Genomic DNA, 21,892 nt, shown 5'->3' with positions numbered 1-21,892 from the left:
ATATAAACTAATCATGGGAATGACCATCTTACCATATTCACAGGATCTACTCACACTCTGGGGAGTTGGGGGGAAATGGCTTGCTCATGGGCACATAGCTAGTAAGAGGCAAGGTAATTCTTCTGAATCTAAGTAGGGTGGCCTCTGTTCTGCCCCCACACCTGCCTGCCAGGTTAAAGGTCTGTGTTTTGTTTGTTGCAAGGCAGACATTGAGGACATTAGTACCCGAGGCCTCTTTAAGGGACTTTGCTCTGAAATAGTCTCCTCCTGGGCTCCTGCATTCCCTGCCTGTGTGATTGGGGAGAATACCTGAGCATGAAAAACAGTATTAACCAGGAGTTTTGATAAAATGGAGTTTTCAGGGGTGAGTTGCAATTTACATAACTGTAAAATTCCATTTACTTTCAGCAATGTATTTTGAATGCTCCCCCTGGGCCAGCTCAAAGGGAGCACACAGTCATCTCCTGCAGAAAGAAAATGGAATTTTTATTTTTGTCTTGAAAGTGCCTTGAAATCAGCAATCTCAAGGCTAGCAGTGGGGCCTCAATGAAGACATCATCAGCAAGAACAGCAGAAGGTTCTGAAGGTAGTCAGCCGTCAACCAAACTCACTCACTTTAATGGTTTTGCATGTGCTAGAAGAAATTAACCATTTAAGGCCAGCCTTCTACCTCCCTATGCTCAATCTCCTGGTTCGATGTGTCTAATTATCTAAATGATAATGAGTTTTCTATGGTGCCAATTCAAACCTTTTAATTATTCGTCTGTGTCTTTCTATAGTAATGCAAATAGCTGCTGATAGCCCTCATCAGTCAATCGTCCAAACATTTGAGGACAGTGGAGCTGGGGTGTAGGTTCCCTCTCCAGATTTTCTTTAGTTGGCTCCTGCACAAACTCCCCAGCTGCTGTGGGAAGGTGGTCTCACCATCTACAGAGGCTAGCCCCCATGTTTCAAAGTGGAAACAAACGTGGTAGGTGTATTTCATGCTCCAGAGCTCCCTGTGCAATCAGGTTAGGGCTAGACTGCAGCTGAGATCACATCCAGCTTAGCCACCTTTCCATTCTACCTCCTGCGTATCCTCCCTCCTGAGAGCCCTCCCCCAGGGAATCACATGCAATCAAAATCAGTGTCAAGTGCTGCTTTGAAGTCACTGACCTAAGAGTGGTATTAATAGTAAAGAAGGTCTGCTATACCCTTCCTATATCTAAATTAAAAAATAAAATAAAAATTACATCTAGGAATTAAAGACCTTGCTGTAAAAAACATCCATTTAAGTAAAGTAGTCCCGCTTTCCCCCACTAATTTGGAAGTCATGTACCTCTCAACCTCAGCTATCTGGAACATAGAAAAGGCCTACAGGGAACTAACCTAGATATTGCAAAACAAAAGACAGTCTGTAACTTTATTTATTTATTTATTTTTTAAGTGCAGGGTTTAGAATGTCTCCTCTTTCACATGCTGGGCAACTGCACCTGGGTGAGTGTAACCTCTCCAGCCCTTCAGTTCCTGTCTGCAAATGCAAGCTCACCCCAGAGTCTCACAGTGTTCCTGGGAAGACAAATACATAATAATACAATATATGGGTTAGTACATATCAGGGCTTCAAAGAACAGAGCTTTTATTATTAAGGCCTTCATGTGACAGGGTACACACAATTTTAGTCTAGTTACAGGCCAATTTCTATTTCAATTCTGAGGCTCAAAGCAGAATTTTTCTTACACACAAACAAAAACAAAACCTCAACAGCTCTGAGTGAAGCAAAAACGAACTTTGATGTTGTCTTTCACCATACTGGGTTCCCTTTGGAGAAGAAGGGAATGGATTGCTGAACTGGGGGAGAATGTGGGTAACGATGTTCCAGGCATAGAGAGGTGGACATAGACAGCAAAGACAAATGGACATCATCCTGGGCCCCTGGAAGTCTGGTGGGCCTCAAGTCTCTGGATCTGCCTCAACCAGAGAAAGTGAAGCAAATGTGTGAGGTTGCGTTTGTTAGCATTTATTTAATCTGGGGAGTGGGTGCTCTGTGGATGTTTGTCTTACTGTCTGTAATTTTATGCAAGTTTGAAGTATTTAAAAATTTTAAAAAAAAGAACAAATGTAGGCCGGGCACGGTGGCTCACGCCTGTAATCCCAGCACTTTGGGAGGCCGAGGCGGGTGGATCACAAGGTCAGGAGATTAAGACCATCCTGGCTAACACGGTGAAACCCCGTCTCTACTAAAAAGTACAAAAAATTAGCCAGGTGTGGTGGTGGGCACCTGTAGTCCCAGCTACTTGGGAGGCTGAGGCAGGAGAATGGCGTGAACTCAGGAGGCAGAGCTTGCAGTGAGTCGAGATCGCGCCATTGTACTCCAGCCTGGGTGACAGAGCGAGACTCTCTCTCAAAAAAAAAAAAAAAAAAAAAAGTAGAATTTTTTGCTTCCCTTCTTCTCACCATTAGAGGGCCATAACTTCACTCTTGTCTCCGTATCTCCTGCCACTTATTTCTCCAAAATTGATATGTTTAGCGATAAGATCAGTTAAGATAACATTTAATAGAAAGAACAATTGTCTGACTCCCTCTCGCTCTGAGAACTAGCTCTTACTGGACATGGTGGCTCATGCCTGTAATCCCAGCACTTTGGGAGGCGAGGTGAGAGGATTGCTTGAGGCCAGGAGTTTGAGACCAGCTCGGGCAGTGTAGGAGACTCCATCTCTACCAAAAATAAATAAATAAATAAAAACAAAAAATAACTTGCTGTCTACTCGATACCTACCTATGATTTGATTGGGACACTGCAGGCAGGGGATCTCCTTAACCTGTGTCTACTGTGCTCCCAAGATATGCTGATCACTCTCCTATGTGACCTGGATGATGGGGGAGGAGAAAGGATACTGGAATGAGGAGTCATAGAATACAAGGTATATAGCAACTTTCCTTTAAGAGGTTAGCCAAATATACATATATATATTTTAATGTTTAGGTTGGGTGCAGTGGCTCACTCCTGTAATCCCAGCACTTTGGGAGGCCGAGATAGATGGATCACTCAAGGTCAGGAGTTCGAGATCAGCGGGACCAACATGGTGAAACCCCGTCTCTACTGAAAATACAAAAAATAAGCCTGGCATGGTGGCAGGCGCCTGTAATCCCAGCTACTCAGGGAGGCTCAGGCACAAGAACCCAGGAGATGGAGGTTGCAGTGAGCCAAGATCACGCCACTGCACTCCAGCCTGGGCAACAGAGTGAGACTCTGTCTCAAAAAAAAAAAAAAAAGAATCGTACCTATAAAATACATCAGATGACAAAGGTATCTGGTCTATAGTGTACACTATAATGATGCTTATCAATGTGAATCACAGTCATGAATCCAAGATGGGATCAAAGCAAACTTACCTGAAATGCTCAGCATTAGTAAACATCACTTTATACTGCAGGAAAACGCACAGCAAATATAGTGAAAATTTTACGTCCAGCACCTTTTTTCTCTTTTCTCTTCTCTTCTTTCCTTTTTTCTTTTCTTTTCTCCTTTCCTTTCCTTTCTTTTCTTTTATTTTTTTTTTGAGACTGAGTCTCACTCTGTCGCCCAGGCTGGAGTGCAGTGGCACGATTTCTGCTCACTGCAACCTCTGTCTCCCAGGTTCAAGTGATTCTTGTGCCTCAGCTTCCTGAGCAGCTGGGATTACAGGTGTGCACCACGATGCCCAGCTAATTTTTGTATTTTTAGTAGAGATGGTGTTTCGGCATGTTGGCCAGGCTGGTCTGGAACGACTGACCTCAGGTGATCTACCCGTCTCGGCCTTCCAACATGCTGGGATTACAGGCGTGAGCCACTGCACCTGGCCTGCTTTAAGGATTTGAAAAATATTGTGTGACCCTGATAGTCCAGCAACCAACAGATGATGTGGGTTTCAATCAGACTTTGGTTCAACAATCATCATGAATGATTCTACGGGCTTTTTGTGTTTTGCTCTTGGCCTTTTGTTCACACTGGGGCCTGAGGTCCCCTAAAAACAGATTACTGGCCTTGAAGCCCACTAGGGCAACCACCCTTCTACACTGACTCTGTAGGAACGTGAACACTTCATGTGTTCCTAACTTGCACGTTCAATGTATAGAGTGAAATCTTTAGTAATGATGATGAGGAGGACATATTACTATCCTAAGATGTACTATTCTAGGTATTGCATTATGTTATTTTAGTTATTCTTCACAAATACTCTGCAAAGTAAATTTCTTGAAAATAGGTTGCACCTGGGTGATACCATCAGGCAATAGCTTTGCTTTTCTGCCTATTGCCTTCAAAATGTATATAGTTGCATTTGCCTTCGCCTTTCCTGATGACACATTGAGAATATTCTGTAGCTTCCCAGTCACTTGCAAGTTTGTTTTTTTTTTCTTTTTTCTTTTTCTTTTTTTTTTTTTTTGAGATAGAGTCTCGCTCTGTCAGCTAGGCTGGAGTGCAGTGGCACAATCTCGGCTCACTGCAGCCTGCATCTCCTGGACTCAAGTGATTCTCCTGCCTTAGCCTCCTGAGTAGCTGGGATTACAGGTGTGCACCACCACTCCCGGCTAATTTTTGTATTTTTAGTAGAGACAGGATTTCACCATATTGGCCAGACTTCTCTCGAACTCTTGACCTCAGGTAATCCACCCGCCTTGGCCTCATAAAGTGCTGGGATTACAGGCATGAGCCACTGCACCCAGCCCACTTGCAAGTATTTTAAAAGTCCAGTTCAATCTAAATCAAATTTAATCTCACATTCAGGTTAAGCCTTCTCCCCTCTGCTCAGCTGGGGCTTGTCTGGAGGATCAGGTGCCAGGAAACGCGTAAAGACGCTGGATCTGCTCTTTCGCTCTTCGCTGTACTTCCTACCCTACTCACCTAACTGCTGATGGATTTTCCAATATAATAGCTGTGGAGGGATGAGAGATGGAGGCAGATGCTGGCTGTGATGCTCTCTTGACTGTTGAAAGCCTTCCAAATGGTAAGATCCAAATGTTGGCTCTTCCAGTTGGCACTTTTCGTGGGGGTTCTTCAGAGACCCTGACTTGGCCATGGGCTAGGTGAAACCTGTGACGTCTCTCAACTCCTGCCCCTGGTGGTACCACAAGTCCCCTTGAGCAGAGATAAATTAAGCTGGCTTCCTTTTGTGGCATTTGCCTGCTCTGGCAAAATGCACACATACTTGCTCGGCCATTGTGGGTAGCTTTGCCAAGCTCCAACCTCAGTCTTCTCCAGGTGAACACTAGGAAGAAAAACTATGCTTTCAATGTCAAGAGAATATATTTTAAGATCTCCTAAGAACTCCATGATGTTCCACCCTCTGGAGTAGCTTGGGACTGGCTTCTGCATCTCTGTGTTTCAGCAAGCATCCAGCCTGGGAGTGTGATGCCAGTCTACCATCTTGCCATAAATCCTCTCTCCAGGATTATCTCATACTGCGTCACACTACCTCACTTTGCTTGGGAGTGAATGAAAGCAAACCATCTGCAATACTACAAGCCTCTTAGAAAGAATTTTTTTCCCTCTAAGGAAGCTGCTAATCTTCCCATAAACAAGCTGTTGAAAGTATTAGATTTGGTCATGGGCTGGCAGTTCTCATCCAGAGTGGTCTACCTCCTCTCTTTAGAATGCACAGCTACTTAGCTATGTTCCAATCTTTAGGGTCTAAGCCAAAACTCTAAATCCTATTAAACATTTGTTATAATCCCTTTACCCACAAGGAATTGAATTGCAAAGAGATTTGTTGCAAAATGCTCAAGGTAACTGAGTTTATAAGAACAAAAATCAGATTTAAACCCTGACCTGGTCCTTCTCCCAGGTAGTCTTTTTCATATTCCAGAGGACCCTTCTTAACTGAAGTTGCCTAGGACCATGAGAGAGGAATTACACTTAATTCCATTTGACAGACAGTAAACATAGGCTGAAAAAGTTTAAGAGACTTGCCCAAGATTAACCTGTGGATTATAGGAATTGAATGGCTCACACAGAGGAGGCTACTTCACAATCAATTTAACAAAGGATTATTAAAAATGTGTGGGCAGCCTTAGGAAGCTACAGGGGATGGTGCCATAGTCCAGAACTAGTTAGAAACGAAGAACTAAAGAGAGAAGGGAAGGAGAGAATTGTGTTCAGAAGGCCACCTTGAGAGGAGTCAGGTTGTAGGATGAAGCCAGTCCTAAATCAGAACTCAGGGAGGAGGCTGTACTTCCCACTTCTCCTCTCTACCTCCACTGTCTTCTGGGAGCCAAACCTAGTGTGGAGCTAGAGGGTACTAGAGCCTGAAGTTCTTTCTACAGGTCAGTCTCCCAGAGAAGAGAGCAAGAAAATGAAGGGTAGAGAGTGGATTTGACTTACTCAGCCAGGAGTGGAAGATCTGGGTTTTCAATCTGTGCCTGCCTGCCCCAAACTCTATGCTGCATTTTGTTGGCTCTGCCCTTATTTTGTTATGCGGCTGGGACACTTTCTCTGCATTGTAAACACTCTTCATAAGGGACTTTTCTTACTGTCGTTATAAATGATTCCATCCCAAGCACACATGTGGGACAGTCACATGTGCTTTTAAGTAAAAGCACATTGGCTGAATGAATTAATGGATGGGGAAGATAGGTTTGACGTGCATGGGGACAGTATGAGCAAAGGGAGAGAAACGGTGTGCACTGCAATAGCTCCCTGCATAGGTATTTAAATGAGACAATTCATACAACACTTTTTTTACACATTTTTGTATACAAGGTCCCATTTAAACATCAAATCAACTCTTCAATTATCACTCCCTGATGAGTCCCCCAAGTTTATTTGTTTAGTGACAGTAGCTGAAGAAAATATAAATCCAGATTATCTGGCTCTGAATCCAGTTCTCTTTCAAGAACCCCTCAGTTGAATACAACATGGTGAGATAATAGGATAACCACAATTTATTCTGTCTTTCTCTGTCTCTCTCACAGTCTCTCTCTTTCTCTCTATTTCTCCCTTCCTCTCCATCTCTCACTACCTCTCTTTTGGTTTTCTCCCTGCTATTGATTTATTGTTGAAATCAAATCATTTGTCCTTTAGTATGTCTCACATTCTGGATATATCTCTTTGCTTTCTTGTAGTTTAATTAACTTGTTTATCACATGCTGTATTTCTTGTAAGTGAGCTCTCGTGGCTGGATTTGATAAAGATTCAGCTTGTTTCAAAATGTTCTGGCAAGAAGACACTTCACAAGTGGTGCTGTGTGTTTCACACTAAAGCATATTGGGATACACACAAAATTAGCATGACTATCGCACCTTTCATGAGGCTAAGAATGATTGGTGGGTTTGGGTGTCTTAAGAAAATTTTAATCATCATTATTAATAACTGCTATTATGGGCTGGGCACGGTGGCTCACGCCTGTAACCCCAGCACTTTGGGAGGCTAAGGCGGGTGGATCATGAGGTCAGGAGATCAAGACCACCCTGGCTAACACGGTGAAACCCTGTCTCTACTAAAAATCCAAAAAAAAAAAAAAAAATTAGCCGGGTGTGGTGGTGGGCACCTGTAGTCCCAGCTACTCTGGAGGCTGAGGCAGGAGAATGGCGTGAACCCAGGAGGCAGAGCTTGCAGTGAGCTGAGATGGCGCCACTGCACTCCAGCCTAGGCGACAGAGTGAGACTCCGTCTCAAAAAAAAAAAAATGCTATTATGAAGTTAAGGATCAGCAATATAGTGGGGGCTCTGCTTGGCATCAAACATGTTATCTTGTTGAATCTACACAAAAACTATATGAAAAAGGGATTTCTATCCTCATTTATCAAATGAGAGCACTGAGGTTCAGAGTGGTAGGTGCCTGGAGTCATACAACTCGTGAGTGACAGAGGCAGGATATGAATGCAGATCTAATGGACTCCAGAGTCTGCGTTCTGAACAACTACATAATTGATATTATGTGTGGCTTCATTTCTTTTCAGCATGTTTTCACAGACTAACTTCTACACCTTTTGATTCTTGCACTTTTAATAATCAGTCGGATGGAGTAATTTATACAGTTAACTTACAGCCAGTGTTGGAAAAAGGGTCAAAGAAAGAGGCCCCTTTGGTGCCAACCATGCCACAGAAGAAGCAAGTAAAAGATAACAGGTTGTGGAGCGGGGCACCTAGAATAGGTGGTAGGTGGCAGCAAGCAGCAAAATCGAGAAAAGTGATCTATTGAGATCCTTTTAATTGTACTTTATAAAAACACAACCCAAAATAGCTTAAGGCAAAAGGCCAACTGATTTGCTCAACTCATCAATCTATGGAAAGGCCAGAGGTAGACTGACCTCAGGAATCACTGGACCTAAGAACTAGGCAGAATTCCATTGAATGCTGTCTCCATCTCTCAGCTCTCCTTCTTCATGCTTGCTGGTGTCCTGCTCTCAGTCTGGCTCTCTCCAAATGGCAGGAAGCACTACTACAAGCCCCTCACCTTTACAACTGCATGACCAGAAAGGAAAGAGAATTTTTCTCTTTTTTTTGAGACAGAGCCTTGCTCTGTCTCCTAGGCTGGAGTGCAGTGGGGCGATCTCGGCTCACTGCAACCTCCGTCTCCTGGGTTCAAGCAATTCTCCTGCCTCAGCCTCCTGAGTAGCTGGAATTACAGGCGCCCACCACCATGCCCAGCTAATTTTTGCATATTTAGTAGAGACAGGGTTACACCATGTTGCCCAGGCTGGCCTTGAACTCCTGACATCAGGTGATCTGCCTGCCTCGGCCCCCCAAAGTGCTGGAATTACAGGCGTGAGCCACTGCACCCGGCCGAGAACTTTCTTTTGTCAACTCCAGTGAGGAAAAAAGTTACAGGGAAGGATTCTAATTGGCTGGATTTGGATGAATCCATATAACTGAAGAAGTGAGGCCCTATGATTGGTCCACTTAGGTCATATGTTCCTCCTATAACCAGGGAGACACAGTTTGTTACTGATATGGTTTGGATATTTGTCCCCTCCAAATCTCATGCTGAAAAGTGATGCCCAGTATTGGAGGTGGGGCCTCGTGGGAGGGATTTGTATCATGGAGGGTAGGCCCCTCATGAATGGCAGGCCCCTCATGAATGGCTTAGTGCCATCCCCTTGGTGAAGAGTGAATTCTCACTCTGTTAGTTCACATGAGATCTGGTTGTTTAAAGGAGGCTGGCTCCTCCTCCCTTGGTCCCTCTATGTGACACCCCTACTCCCCCTTTGCCTTTTGCCATGACTGAAAGCTTCCTGAGGCCTCCCTAGAAGCCCAGCAGATGCTGGAGCCATGCTTTCCGTAAAGCCTGCAGAACCGTGAACCAATTAAACCTCTTTTCTTTATAAACTACCAAGTCTCTGGTATTTCTTTATAGCAACACAAAATGGACGAATACAGTTACTGTAAGAAAGGAATGAATTGCATAGACTAGGATACTGAGGATATTATGAGCTGGGCAGTAACTCCAGTCTGCGTTTTTCATACGTTCTTGTTATGAAAAAATGGCAACAGATGATCTTCAGAGGCAGACTCTGGGGTGACTAAAAAGAACAAATTTAGGGGAAGGAAACTGATACTCATTAAACATTCACATGTGCTATATAATATCCTAAGTGCTACATGCATAGCTGATTTAATCTTCACAACAGTACCATAAACTCAACATTTTATTATTCTCATGTTAAAAAATAAACCAAGTCTCATAGAAGTTAAATGATTTGTCCTAGATCAAAGTTATATATATGAAGTCAAGATTTGAATCTAGATTTTTATGGCTCTAATGCTACTCTCCATTATTGAGAGACTAAGGATAGAGAGACAATAGTCAATTATAGACATTTATATATAAAGCAGGTGCTTATTCACAGAAATGAGGCAGGATCCTATTTATGCTATGAATCATCTGGTCAGATTAGAACCAAAATCTAGTCTGATCTATTGCTAAATAAAAGCCGTTTTTCACCAGACAAACCCAAATTGAGGGACATTCAACAAAACACTGAATTCATATTCTTCAAAACTGTAAAGGTCATCAGAAACAAGTAAAGACTGAGATTATAAAGTCCATCTCAATATAGACCAGAGGAGACTCAAGAGATGTGACAAGTAGGTACAATGTGTTATCCTGGATTGGTTCTTGGAACAGAAAAAGGACATTTGTGGAAAAAAATGGTAAAATCCAAAGAAAATCTAAAGTTCCATTAAAAATAATGTACCACTGTTGGCTTCTTAGATTTGACAAATGCGCCATGGTAACGGAAGATATCAACAATAAAGGATATTGGGTGAGGAGTATAAGAGTGCTCCATTATCTTTACAATTGTTTTGTTAAGTTAATCTTTAAAATTGTTTTGTAAATTTAATATTTAATTTAAAATTATCTCAAGATATAAAGTTTATTAAAACTGCTTTCCCCCTTGAATAAGAGCATTATCTGTCATTGCGTCTGGGATGATTCTGCACAGGTAGGGGCTTGCTTCTGATTGGAGTAAAGAAGACTCTGGAGCTCCTGACACAGGGTGTCATGGGTTGAATATTTGTGCTAACCCCTATCCCAACTCATATGTTGAATTTTAGGCCTCCAGTGTGATGGTGTTTGGAGGTGGGACCTATGGGAAATAACTAGATTTGGATGAGGTCATGAGAGTGGGGCCCCATGATGGGATTAGGGGCCTTAAAGAGTTACCAGAGCTCTATCTCTGTCACCATTATGTGAGCACACAGCAAGAAGGCCACCATCAGCAAGCCAGCAAGAACGCTCTCACTAGAACCTAACCATACTGGTACCCTGATCCTGGTATTTCTAGTATCCAGAACTGTGAGAAAAAAATGTGTTGATTAAGCCACCCAAAACACCCTATTTGTGGTACTTTGTTATTGCTGATTAAGACCCCGGAATGGGCCGGGTGCGGTGGCTCGCATTTGTAATCCCAGCACTTTGGGAGGCCGAAGTGGGTGGATCATGAGGTCAGGAGTTTGAGACCAGCCTTGCCAACATAGTGAAACACTGTCTCTACTAAAAAAATACAAAAATTAGCCGGGTGTGGTGGTAGGTTCCTGTAATCCCAGCTACTCAGGAGGCTGACACAGGAAAATCGCTTGAACATGCGAGACGGAGATTGCGCCACTGCACTCCAGCCTGGGTGACAGAGCTAGATTCCATCTCAAAAAAAAAAAGATCCCAGGATGACATACTTTGTTATGGGTGGCAAGCTAAAGAAACAAAACCCTAACATGAAATTAAAGGAAAGTGAGGCAGCTGGTTAATGGTAATGGTGAATTTTTGTTCATATTTCAGATCCCACCCAGGCAAACTTCTCCTCTACAGATGGCCTGCTAACATGCTCTTATTTCAGACTATGACATCTCTAAAGCTAACTTACTCCTGTGCCACATTTGAATCAACAATCTAGGATTATGCCTCAAACAGTGTTTAAAGATATGTAGTCTTTGGAAAAGTTGTCCTGGATCTCACTAGGTGCTTCTTATCTCAGCTTCTGGTCATGGCTTCTCTTAGTTCTCTTGGTTCAGAAACAGCACAGGCCACAGGGGGACTTGCTGATTCCTAGTGGTACCCAGTCTCAAATGCACTGCTTAGATGACTTACTAAAAATGAAGACTGATCCCTCATTAAAGTCTTCATGGACAATAAAACTGCATAACCCATGAAGTATATTATAGACCCTCATTTCTGCCAAGGGTGTCAAATTTTTCACATGTTTCTTAGGCAGCTATAGGAGTAGGTTAAAAGGGGAAAAACAGGGTAGATAACTTAAGTCTGACTAATTGAGAGAAGAGGTGAAATTCTGAGGGTGTGCACAATTGATCCTTCTCTTTCCAGGGTAGAACAGAGGGTCTTGCAAAAAGTGTATAAACTCACAGATTTCAGAGTGGGAAATAGGTTGACCAACAGTCCCAGTGGGCTCAGGACTGAAGAGTTTCCCAGGACGAAAGGCTCTAAGAGCCAAACTGGAACAGGTCCAGTCAAACCGGGATAGTTGGTCACTCATATGAAAGGGACTTTAAAGTGATCTTCTGAGACATAAAGACTCCAAAATATATTCTCTTCTTGGGGCGGGGGGTGGGGGTTGCATATAGCAAATATGTTTTCAGGAAGCAGTGGGGTATAATTGACAGAGCTTGAGCAGGACAGTGGGAAGAGAGGAGGCTAGTCCAACGGACTCACAGTCAGAACACCTGTGTACAAATACTAGCCCCACTGTCAGAAGCTAAGAACACCTGGATAAACAATGTCCGTTCTATTTTAGTTTTCTCATCTGGAAAATGGGGATACTACTAGTACTTCTCATAGGTTTGTCTTGAGGATTAACATTCAATAATGCGGGTAAAGTTCTTGGTATTCTGTTTGGCACATAGGAAATGCTAAATAAATAAATGTTAAATTTTATTATGTTGTTGATACAATTAGCAGTCTGAATTCTTATTCCTAGTACTGCCACTTACCAGCGACGTGGCCTTGGTAATTGCAGCCTCTTCATCTGTAGAGATAATGACGCCTTACTGAGAGGTTAGGAGGTTTTAGTGAAAGCAAGCAAGTGCATAATAGACATGAGAGAAATGAAAGCTTCTCAATTCCTGAGTGGCTCAGGGTTCACATTTTCTTCTCTCACATTTAACTCCACTAGTAGAGTAGAGAGACAATGGGATTTACAGACTGGGCCTTAATCTTGGCCATGCCATTACTAGGGACTAAATTTAGTAACTTTTCCTTTTTTAAAAAGTCGGAGATTTTCTTGGAAGGCTGGGAATTGCTTCTAGAGGGAGTTACCCAAAAGGAGTTGTCAGTCATGTTTCGACAAACGAAATCATACTGGAAGAAGCATGCAATTGTGTTGATAGCTCATTCTATCACCCACATGTTAGCTTTGTCCTTATTCTTCAGTGCTAGTCCCTTCCCAACTATATCTACTCACAATCATTACTAAGCAATGTAGTACACTGAAGGTTGTTTTCAGCACACTGGAGTAGAGGCTGTATAACACTACTCACCACAGACTCCTTCAGATTCCTCCGTGCTGTTTTGCCTCCTCTCTTCTGCCTTCCTCCCTTAGCCTTTCTTCCCCTATTTCCCTCCTATCTTACCTTTGCTTTTCTTCATTTTTGACATTCCCCACCTCTCAACCTTTGCAGTAGAAATTATTATGTGATCCGCAAAGGTGGTTTTCTCTTGCTCTTGGGCACGTAGCTAGACTACATTTCCCAGATGCCTTTGCAGTTAGATGTAACCGTAGGGCTGAGTTTACTCAATGGAACATGAGTAGAAGTGACATGGCCTGGCCCATGAAAACTTCCATGGACAATCCCCTCTCTCTCTTTCTCCCCCTGCTGGTTGGATATTGAAGCTCAGGGACTCTTGGTACTGAAGCCTCTATTAACCTGGCTCCCAGTATGACTGTGGGAGCCAATCAAATCCAAACAGCAATCCTCACCTCTACCCCTTGCTGTCAGAATCATCTTTTGGGGGCTTACGCGGGTGAAAAAAAAAAAAAGGAGAATTGAACTTCATATAAGTGAGAAATAAACTTTCATTTCATTAAGCCAATGAAATGTCAAAGTTGATCTATGTTGTCATTTTATTTTATTTTATTTTGAGACAGAGTTTCGCTCTTGTTGCCCAGGCTAGAATGCAATAGCGCGATCTCGGCTCACTGCAACCTCCGCCTCCTGGGTTCAAGCTATTCTCCTGCCTCAGCATCCTGAGTAGCTGGGATTACAGGCGTGCGCCACCATACCCGGCTAATTTTTGTATTTTTAGTTGAGACGGGGTTTCTCCATGTTGGTCAGGCTGGTCTCAAACTCCCGACCTCAGGTGATCGCCCGCCTCGGCCTCCCAAAGTGCTGGGATTACAGGCGTGAGCCACCGTGCCCGGCCAAAGTTGATCTATGATAGCGGCCAGGCTTACAAAAAATAATATGGCCATGCCCTTAAGGACTCCTCTTCCACCATTTCTGATTTTTCGGTCCTCCAAATCTCTCTCCTCTTAATTACAATGAACAGTGTAGACTGGAGGCAGCCGTTTCCATGTTTGCACACTCAAAACCAATGTAGTACTCAGCAAAGAACACTTAGTGATAAAGAACCATCACCATTAAAAGGAGAAATAGGTTAATTATTTTCTGTGATATACCATCCTTTTATTCAATAAGTAATCACACAAAGTACCTAAATGTGCTCTGCTCTTCTGTAGGCACTCGAGGTAGAGCAATGAAAGTAAACTGCTACCCTCAATAGCTTTTTTGGGGGGTGGGGTCTTGCTCTGTTGCTCAGACTGGAGTGCAGTGACACCATCATGGATCACTGCAGCCTCGATCTCCTGGGGTCAAGCAATCCTCCTGCCTCAGCCTCTCAAGTAGTTGGGACTACAGGTGCACGTCACCACGCCCAATTAATCTTTTGTTTTTTTGTACAGACAAGATCTCATTCTGTTGCCTAGGCTGGATGGGCTTGAGGTGTCCTCAAACAGTCCTCCCACCTTGGCCTCTCAAAGGGCTAGGATTACAGCTGTGAGTCACTGTGCCCAGCCCTGCTGTCAATAGCTCCTGACATAGTGCTAAACTAGACAACTATTCATAAAACACAGTTAGGAAGTTATAAGATTTTATGGGAGCCAAAGGAGGGTTATCATAATTCAACTTGGATCTGAATCAGGGAAATCTTCCTAAGAAGGCCCTGACTTAAATTTCAAAAACCAGGTAAGATTCAGATGAGGGGAGGAGGAAGGGTGTTCTGGTATAAGAATTGTAAGTAAGAAGGCAGTGAGATAGCCTGAGTCCTGGAATCTGCATTTTGAGTAAGGCCAGTGTGAAGAGTGGAAGTATGGGGGATGAGTGTGGCAGGAGATGAAACTGGAGGTTGGACATCATGAAGGACATCAGGCTAAAGATTAATGTGCATCTGACACCGTCTTTCTTGTCACCTCATTAGTATACATTGTCACGATTTCCCAATCGCTACATCAGAAATAATTCCCAGTCCCCATATGTGGCTCTCCTGTGTGCTAAGCACAGTCCGGGAGAGGAAGACACTGCAATGTGATAACTGAGCTTCTCTACAATGCCTCTGAAATGTCACTGTCCTGGGTGTTCTTAGGGCCAACCTCCCTATACATGAATTTGTTGAGGAGCTCTCATGAAGGAAAAACCACAGGGCTGAGGACAGATGGGTTTAGAACACTAAAAATCTAAGTAGGCTAAAGGCTTCTTATCTTCAACCACAATAGTGCCATTACTGTTGCTTCATTTTGTCCTTTTTACTTATACAGCCCTTTACTGTTCCTCGTGGCTTTTATTTACATGACTTCATTTGATCTTCCCTACTGTCCTCTGTGACTCGCAGGATGGATTCTACGATCTCATCAAACAGGTAAAGGGCCTAAGTTCTGGTGTGTTGAGATAATTTGCCTCTCCTCATTTGTAAGTGGTTGATCCAGGGCCAGAATTGCAATGAATAAATATTTTCTCGGCCTTGATCTCCTTGAGACCAAACGTCACATCTTCTAATTGTTGTCACCTTCCCAGTGCTTCATTATAGGCACTTAACCTATACTTGCTGACTTAACTTGAAATAGTAATTAAGAATATGGGTTTTGAGGCCGGGTGTGGTGGCTCATGCCTGTAATCCCAGCACTTTGGGAGGCCGAGGTGGGCAGATCACCTGACGTCAGGAGTTTGAGACCAGCCTGGCCAACATGGTGAAACCTCGTCTCTACTAAAAATACAAAAATTAGCCAGGCATGGTGGTGCATGCCTGTAATCCCAGCTACTTGGCAGGCTGAGGCAGGAGAATCACTTGAACCCAGGAGGCGGAGGTTGCAGTGAGCCGAGATTGTGCCACTGTACTCCACCCTGGGCAACAAAGTGAGACTCCATCTCAAAAACAAAACAAACAAACAAACAAAAAAGAATATGGGCTTTGAAATCAAAGGAGACTTGGATTCAGCATCTGTTTTTTGTTTGTTTGTTTTGAGTTTGTAGGCAGATTGTTTTTTTTTTTAACTTTTATTTTAGGTTCAGGGGTACATGTGCAGGTTTATTATATAGATAAATTTCATGTCAGAAGGGTTTGAGGTACAGATTATTTCATCTCCCAAGTACTAAGTAGAGTACCCAATAGGTAGTTTTTTGATCCTCACCCTCCATGCACCCCCCACCCTCCAGTAGGCCCTGGTATCTGCAGATCCCTTCTTTGTGTCCATATATACTTGACATTTAGCTCTCACTCATAAGTGAGAACACAGCATCTGGTTCTTGAAATACTTGGGCAAGTCATTTAACCTACCAGAGAAGCAGGTTTTTTATTTATAAATACACTATTAATACTTTCTGATATGGCTGTTGTGAGAATCAAATGAGATGATGTAAATGAGGCACTTAGCATAGAGTCTGGCATGTAGAATTGCTGAAATATGGTAAGGATTATTACTAACTTGATCACTGTTTCTTGTCGGTTATTTTTTTATTATGCAAAAAATTAAATGTATTTAAAAGTAGGCCGAATAATACAGAGACCTACTGCATAACTAAATACAAAGCTTCAAAAATTATCAGCTCATGGCCAATTTTGTTTCATCTCTATCCCCATCTTTTTTTATTCTTTCAATTATTATTATTATTATTAATTATTATTATTATTTTGGAGACAGGATCTTGCTCTGTCACCCAAGCTGGAGTACAGCTGCACAATCATAGCCCACTGCAGCTTTGAACTCCCGGACTCAAGCAATCCTCCTGCCTCAGCCTCCTGGGTAGCTGGGACTGCAGGTGTGTGCCACCATGCCCTACTAAGCTTCCTTATATATTTTTTGAGACAGAGTCTTGCTCTGTTGCCCAGGCTGGAGTGCAGTCATGCGATCTCGGCTCACTGCAACCTCTGCCTCCTGGGTACAAGCAATTCTCTTGCGTCAGCCTCCCGAGTAGCTGGGATTACAGGTGTGTACCACTAGGCCTAATTTTTATATTTTTAGTGGAGATGAGGTTTCACCATGTTGGCCAGGCTGGTCTCAAACTCCTGACCTCAAGCAATCTGCCTGCCTTGGCCTCCCAAAGTGCTGAGATTGCAGGGGTGAGCTACCATGCCTGGCATGTGCAAGAAGTCTTACAAAATTTTGGGAAGAATGGTGTGGTGGACACACCTAAAGGTGACCCGCAGTGACTTACCTCTTCTGTTCATTGTGGGCAGAAACTGTGAATCACTTCTAATCAGCAGAGTATGGTGACGGTGACGGAGTGTCACGCCCTTGGTTTGGCTATGTTATATGAAAAAGACTGTCTCTCTTCTCTAAGGCTTAAGAAGCATTTTCCAGGGAACTTCTAAGTTAGCTGAAAAGCCAACGTTTGCTCTGAGGAGTATTGCTGTGCCATAATACTCTTCTGGCATTACCTGACTCTTCAGTGGAGAAAGTCTAGTATTTTTGCAGTCTGCTGGATTTGACTGGCGGACCTGCACAAGAAGTGCCAGGAGAGAGATAAGTTAACTCTATCTAATTTCATGTAAAGGTCTAGTAAAAAAAAAAAAATTCCTCCTGCATAGAGTGAGGATATGAGTCACAGCAGAGAGACTTTCAACCTGAGAGACTAGAGAGCACGCCCATGTACTAAGTCAGGTGACATCGACTTGCACTCTCACCAATAGTAGAAATTAAGAGCTGGACTTCAGAGTACAGAAAAGGAAGGAGTCCTGAAATACCTGCTTTTTCAAGGTGTAATTACCCCAAAGAAAAACTAAAAATTTTCTTGGGATACCAGGGAAACCGAGGCACATGAGTGTGTGACATAGGCATACACACATACACACACATACTGTCAGACACATACAGTCACAGAATCCAGGACTTTGCAGTATAATAATCCAGGACTTTGCAGTCAGAAAATCTTTAATTTTTAGAATACATGTAATGAGGCTGGGCACAGTGGCTCAAGCCTGTAATCCCAGCACTTTGGGAGGCTGAGGCAGGCAGATCACTTGAAGTCAGGAGTTCGACACCGGCCTGGCCAACATGGTGAAACCCTGTCTCTACTAAAAATACAAAAATTAGCTGCGTGTGGTGGCGCACACCTGTAATCTCAGCTACTCAGGAGACTGAGGCACGAGAACTGCTGGAACCTGGGAGGCAGAGGTTGCAGTGAGACAAGATCCCACCACTACACTCCAGCCTGGGCAACAGAGCAAGAGTCAGTCTCAAAAAAAAAAAAAGTATACATATAATGTTTACCTTTTATCCTTTGCAAGAGATATAGGAACAACCACTAGGAATTTTTCTTTACTTTTCTCCCTAAAAGTCTGGAGGGACCCTATCAACACTGGGAGATGCTCTTGTTCATGGCTCTCTCCAAGACCCCTCCAACATCTGATGACGGCAAAAGTGCAGATACATATCAGTTCTGCTCAGGCATCTGTTGTCCATCTCTTCTTGGCTCCCTCCAGTCTCCAGAGATACACAGACTTGGGAATACTTTGAGGTGCAGGAGCCTTCTAGAACACCCAGGTTATTTCCATCATTTGAGAGAGGAGGGAACCAAACCCTGGAGGAGTGGAGCAATGTGATCAAGGCCACAGAGCCACTCAGATGCGGAGCTAAGACCAGCAGCCACAGCCTTGTCCTCTTCCCACCCCTTCCCTGTTGCCATTCCACATATGCTGGAGGAAAAAGGTGGGTGGACATTCAAGAAATGCAAACTCATGCTAATGTTTGAATATTAAATTTTAATATTGTAATTTTAGCCTGAAACAAAACAGTATTAAAAAGGTACATCTGCTGCAAAAAATTAAATAATGCATTTCTGGCCTCAATACACATGACTGAGTAATTTGGCCCTGTGAATTTCTTCCTGGTAGCAGGGTTGGCCTGGAGAGGGTGGGCAGAGAGGCAGCAGGGCTTCCTGGGACCTCCTGTCTTTTAAAAAAAATTTTTTTTAACTTTTAAAAATAGGGAACGCTTCACAAATTTGTGTGTCATCCTTGCACAGGGGCCATGCTAATTTTCTCTGTATCGTTCCAATTTTAGTATATGTACTGCCAGAGCGAGCACCTGGGGCCTCTCTTCTACTGGGCATTTCTTCCTTTCCTGCAGTTTCACTCCTTGCAGGCTTCTGCTTCCACATGGTGGACCCCAGTTGTTTTGTGTTCTTAAGGGCACCTTTTTGTCATCACAGCTGACGTTTCATGTGATCACCAGGTAACTCATTTTATTGGTTTGTTAGGGCTGCCAAAACAGTGGACTATTAACTGAGTGGCTTAAACAACAGAAATGTATTTTCTCACAGTTCTGGAGGCTGGAGGTCCAAAATCAAGGCGTCTGCAGCATTGGCTCCTTTGAGGGCTGTGAAGTGTGAGACAAAGCAGCAAATGCAAAAAGCCGTATTTGCTCACTTCTGCTTGCTAGCATAATTTCACAAAGCCCCTGATGCTGTGACAAAGTGCAGCTCTCTGGGAGGATTCTTTGAAGACAAAAGAGGGTAGAGCACATGACCCCGTCTCTTGCCTGAGTCACTAAATTCCTTAAAAGATAAATGGCCCTAGCCCTTGCCTTTTCCTACACTTTATAAAACAACGTCTGATGGAATTAGTGATTATGCCTCTGTAGTCTTTAACCAGAGGTACTCTGATGTACCTCTGGTTAATCTTGATGTAATTCTGCTTTAATGTAGCTTCTTGGCAAGTTTGATGTGATTTTGCCCATATTAAACCTCCACCACCTGTATACGGGCATTGGCTTAAATACTGTGTTGGGGCAGTCTGATAGGACCTCTCTAAAGGGCTGCTCCTGGGCTATTGGCCTCAGTCTGTGGTCCTCAGTAATGCTTCTGAATGAACCTACCTTTAATTCTTTAAAAGCTTCATTTTTTCTTTAGTCCACAGAAGGAGAAATCTTTCCTAGGCTTCTCTCACTGATCTGCAATGGCTATCCCCTCCTTGTGTCTTCACATCATCTTCCCTCTGGATGCGTCTGTGTCCAAATTTCCTCTACTTACAAGGACACCAGTCCCTGTAAGTATATATATTTACTAAGTATCTATATTTACCAGTCATTTTAAGTATACATATTAGATTAGGGCCCACCCATTAACCATTTTTGCTTGATTACCTCTGTAAAGACCCTATCTCCACATAAGGTTATATTAAGGTTACATTCTGAGATACTAGGTGGGGCACAGTTAGGGCTTCAATATATGAATTTGGTTGCAGGTGTTGGGGGGATACACTTCAACCAACAACCCCCAGCCAAACTGGTAGCCTGCTTGCAGTGGGTAGGAGGAGATGGGACTGGTTCTCACTGCTCTCAGCCCACCATTGTCCACCTGCATGAGCTGGGGCAGGTCCCTGCATCTTTGCAAGCCTCTGTGCCTATGCTTTAAAATGATCAGAAGTCACACCTGCTTCTCAGAGCAGTGATGACAAATAAACAGGATAACATTTGGAGACAGCCCTAGGACGACATCTGATACATTAGAGACTCTCAATAATTGTTCACATTCCTACTGTTGTCCATAATGAGAGAATATTCACAGATAAGAACCCATTCTACTCACTAAAAAAGAAACCAGAACAAAGCACACATACACACCTGCCCTTAGAAACTTCTGTTCAAATGAAACTTCATAAATAAAAACAAACAAAACCAAGAGGTAAAATAAAGAAAGTAGAGTGGTGACTCAAGTATGGGGCAACCCAGGCCCCCTCTGAATATTTACAGTCAGAGAGAACACTTGGCCATAATTTCTTTCATTGCTTCTCTAATTAAGCAGAGTGACTGCTTGGATATTTTGTTAAAAATAATAAAAACAACAACATTGTGTTGTTTTTCTTACAAAATGAATATGTTTACTATATTATGAAATGTAATAAAAAGTCATATTTATATCACATATTTGGGACTATCATGTCATATTTTCAATAAAAACCTGTTGCCTTTTTTTGTAAAAAGTTAAATCATTTAATAATTGCTATTTGATAACATCTTCATATTAACACATGTTGACAATGTACCCTGAACATCTTCTTATGTTAATACATATTCTTCTCTATATTTTTTAATAGCTACATAGATTTTTGTTGTATGAATAATGAATCATTATTTACTTAGCTGTTCATTACTGATGGACATTTATATTCTGCTTTTGAATTATTGTATTTTTATTAGAAACAAATGCATTGATGAGCATCCTTCATCTTTTGACATCTCCCTGTTCTTTCCACTGGAGGGTTATTAAACTTTAGATGTGTAGACCCAAACAGGGTAGCTGGGATGGTGGGAGATGAAAGGGAAAGGGACAACTTACTCGCAGAGCTCCATTCATAATAGTAAAGGGAGTTATGCAAGGGTTTATAGATACATCGGGAGAGATTCATTATGTCTATGCTTCAAATGAATCAGTTACCAAACTGTTCCTGAAAAAAACAACTGCTAGCAGGACATTCCCAAATAATGGGGAGAAAAAAACTTAGTCATTAGAATTCAGAATAAGCTGCAAATGAGTGATAGAGGACTCTGGAGAGAGTGCCTGATTGGAGGGAAATGCCCGAGGAAGGAAGCCTGAAGAGGGAAGAGCAGCCTTCCTCTGTGGTTTCACACCAAAGGGTATATTAGTCTGTTTTCACACTGCCATAAAGACCCACCCGAGACTAGGTAATTTATAAAGGAAAGGGGTTTAATTGACTCACAGTTTCCCATGGCTGGGGAGGCCTCAGGAAACTTACAATCATGGCAAAGGGGAAGAGGTACGACTTACATGGCAGCAGGTGAGAGAGAGAGGTGAGTGAAGGGGTAAGAGCCCCTTATAAACCCATCAGATCTCATGAGAACTCACTCACTGTCATGAGAATAGCATAGGGGAAACCACCCCCATGATCCAGTCCAGGTCTCTCCCTTGACACGTGGGGATTACAATTCAAGATGAGATTTGGGTGGGGACACAAAGCCAAACAATATCAAGG

General features: G+C 42.9%; 1 long non-coding RNA gene and 1 pseudogene across 1 annotated transcript, besides 1 other annotated feature; both read right to left on the bottom strand.

Annotated features, from left to right (window-relative positions):
- Window positions 320-1,136: an enhancer, noted in NCBI's record as "OCT4-NANOG hESC enhancer chr8:127534858-127535674 (GRCh37/hg19 assembly coordinates)". NCBI's record gives its function as "activates a minimal SCP1, AML or CMV promoter by ChIP-STARR-seq in naive and primed H9 embryonic stem cells {active_cell/tissue: H9 hESC(naive and primed)}" and the evidence as "EXISTENCE:reporter gene assay evidence [ECO:0000049][PMID:30033119]".
- On the bottom strand, window positions 1,389-17,312 carry LOC105375750 (uncharacterized). Its single transcript, NR_188067.1, has 3 exons — window positions 17,116-17,312; window positions 2,759-2,849; window positions 1,389-1,548 (listed from the first exon to the last, which is right to left on the bottom strand). It is a non-coding gene; the product is annotated as an uncharacterized LOC105375750 (long non-coding RNA).
- On the bottom strand, window positions 18,881-18,986 carry RNU6-869P (RNA, U6 small nuclear 869, pseudogene; annotated as a pseudogene).

This window comes from Homo sapiens, chromosome 8, assembly GCF_000001405.40.
Source record: "Homo sapiens chromosome 8, GRCh38.p14 Primary Assembly".
In the NCBI taxonomy this organism is placed as follows: domain Eukaryota; kingdom Metazoa; phylum Chordata; class Mammalia; order Primates; family Hominidae; genus Homo; species Homo sapiens.
Note: the sequence above shows the minus strand (reverse complement) of the source record. Positions and strands in the feature narration are given on the sequence as shown.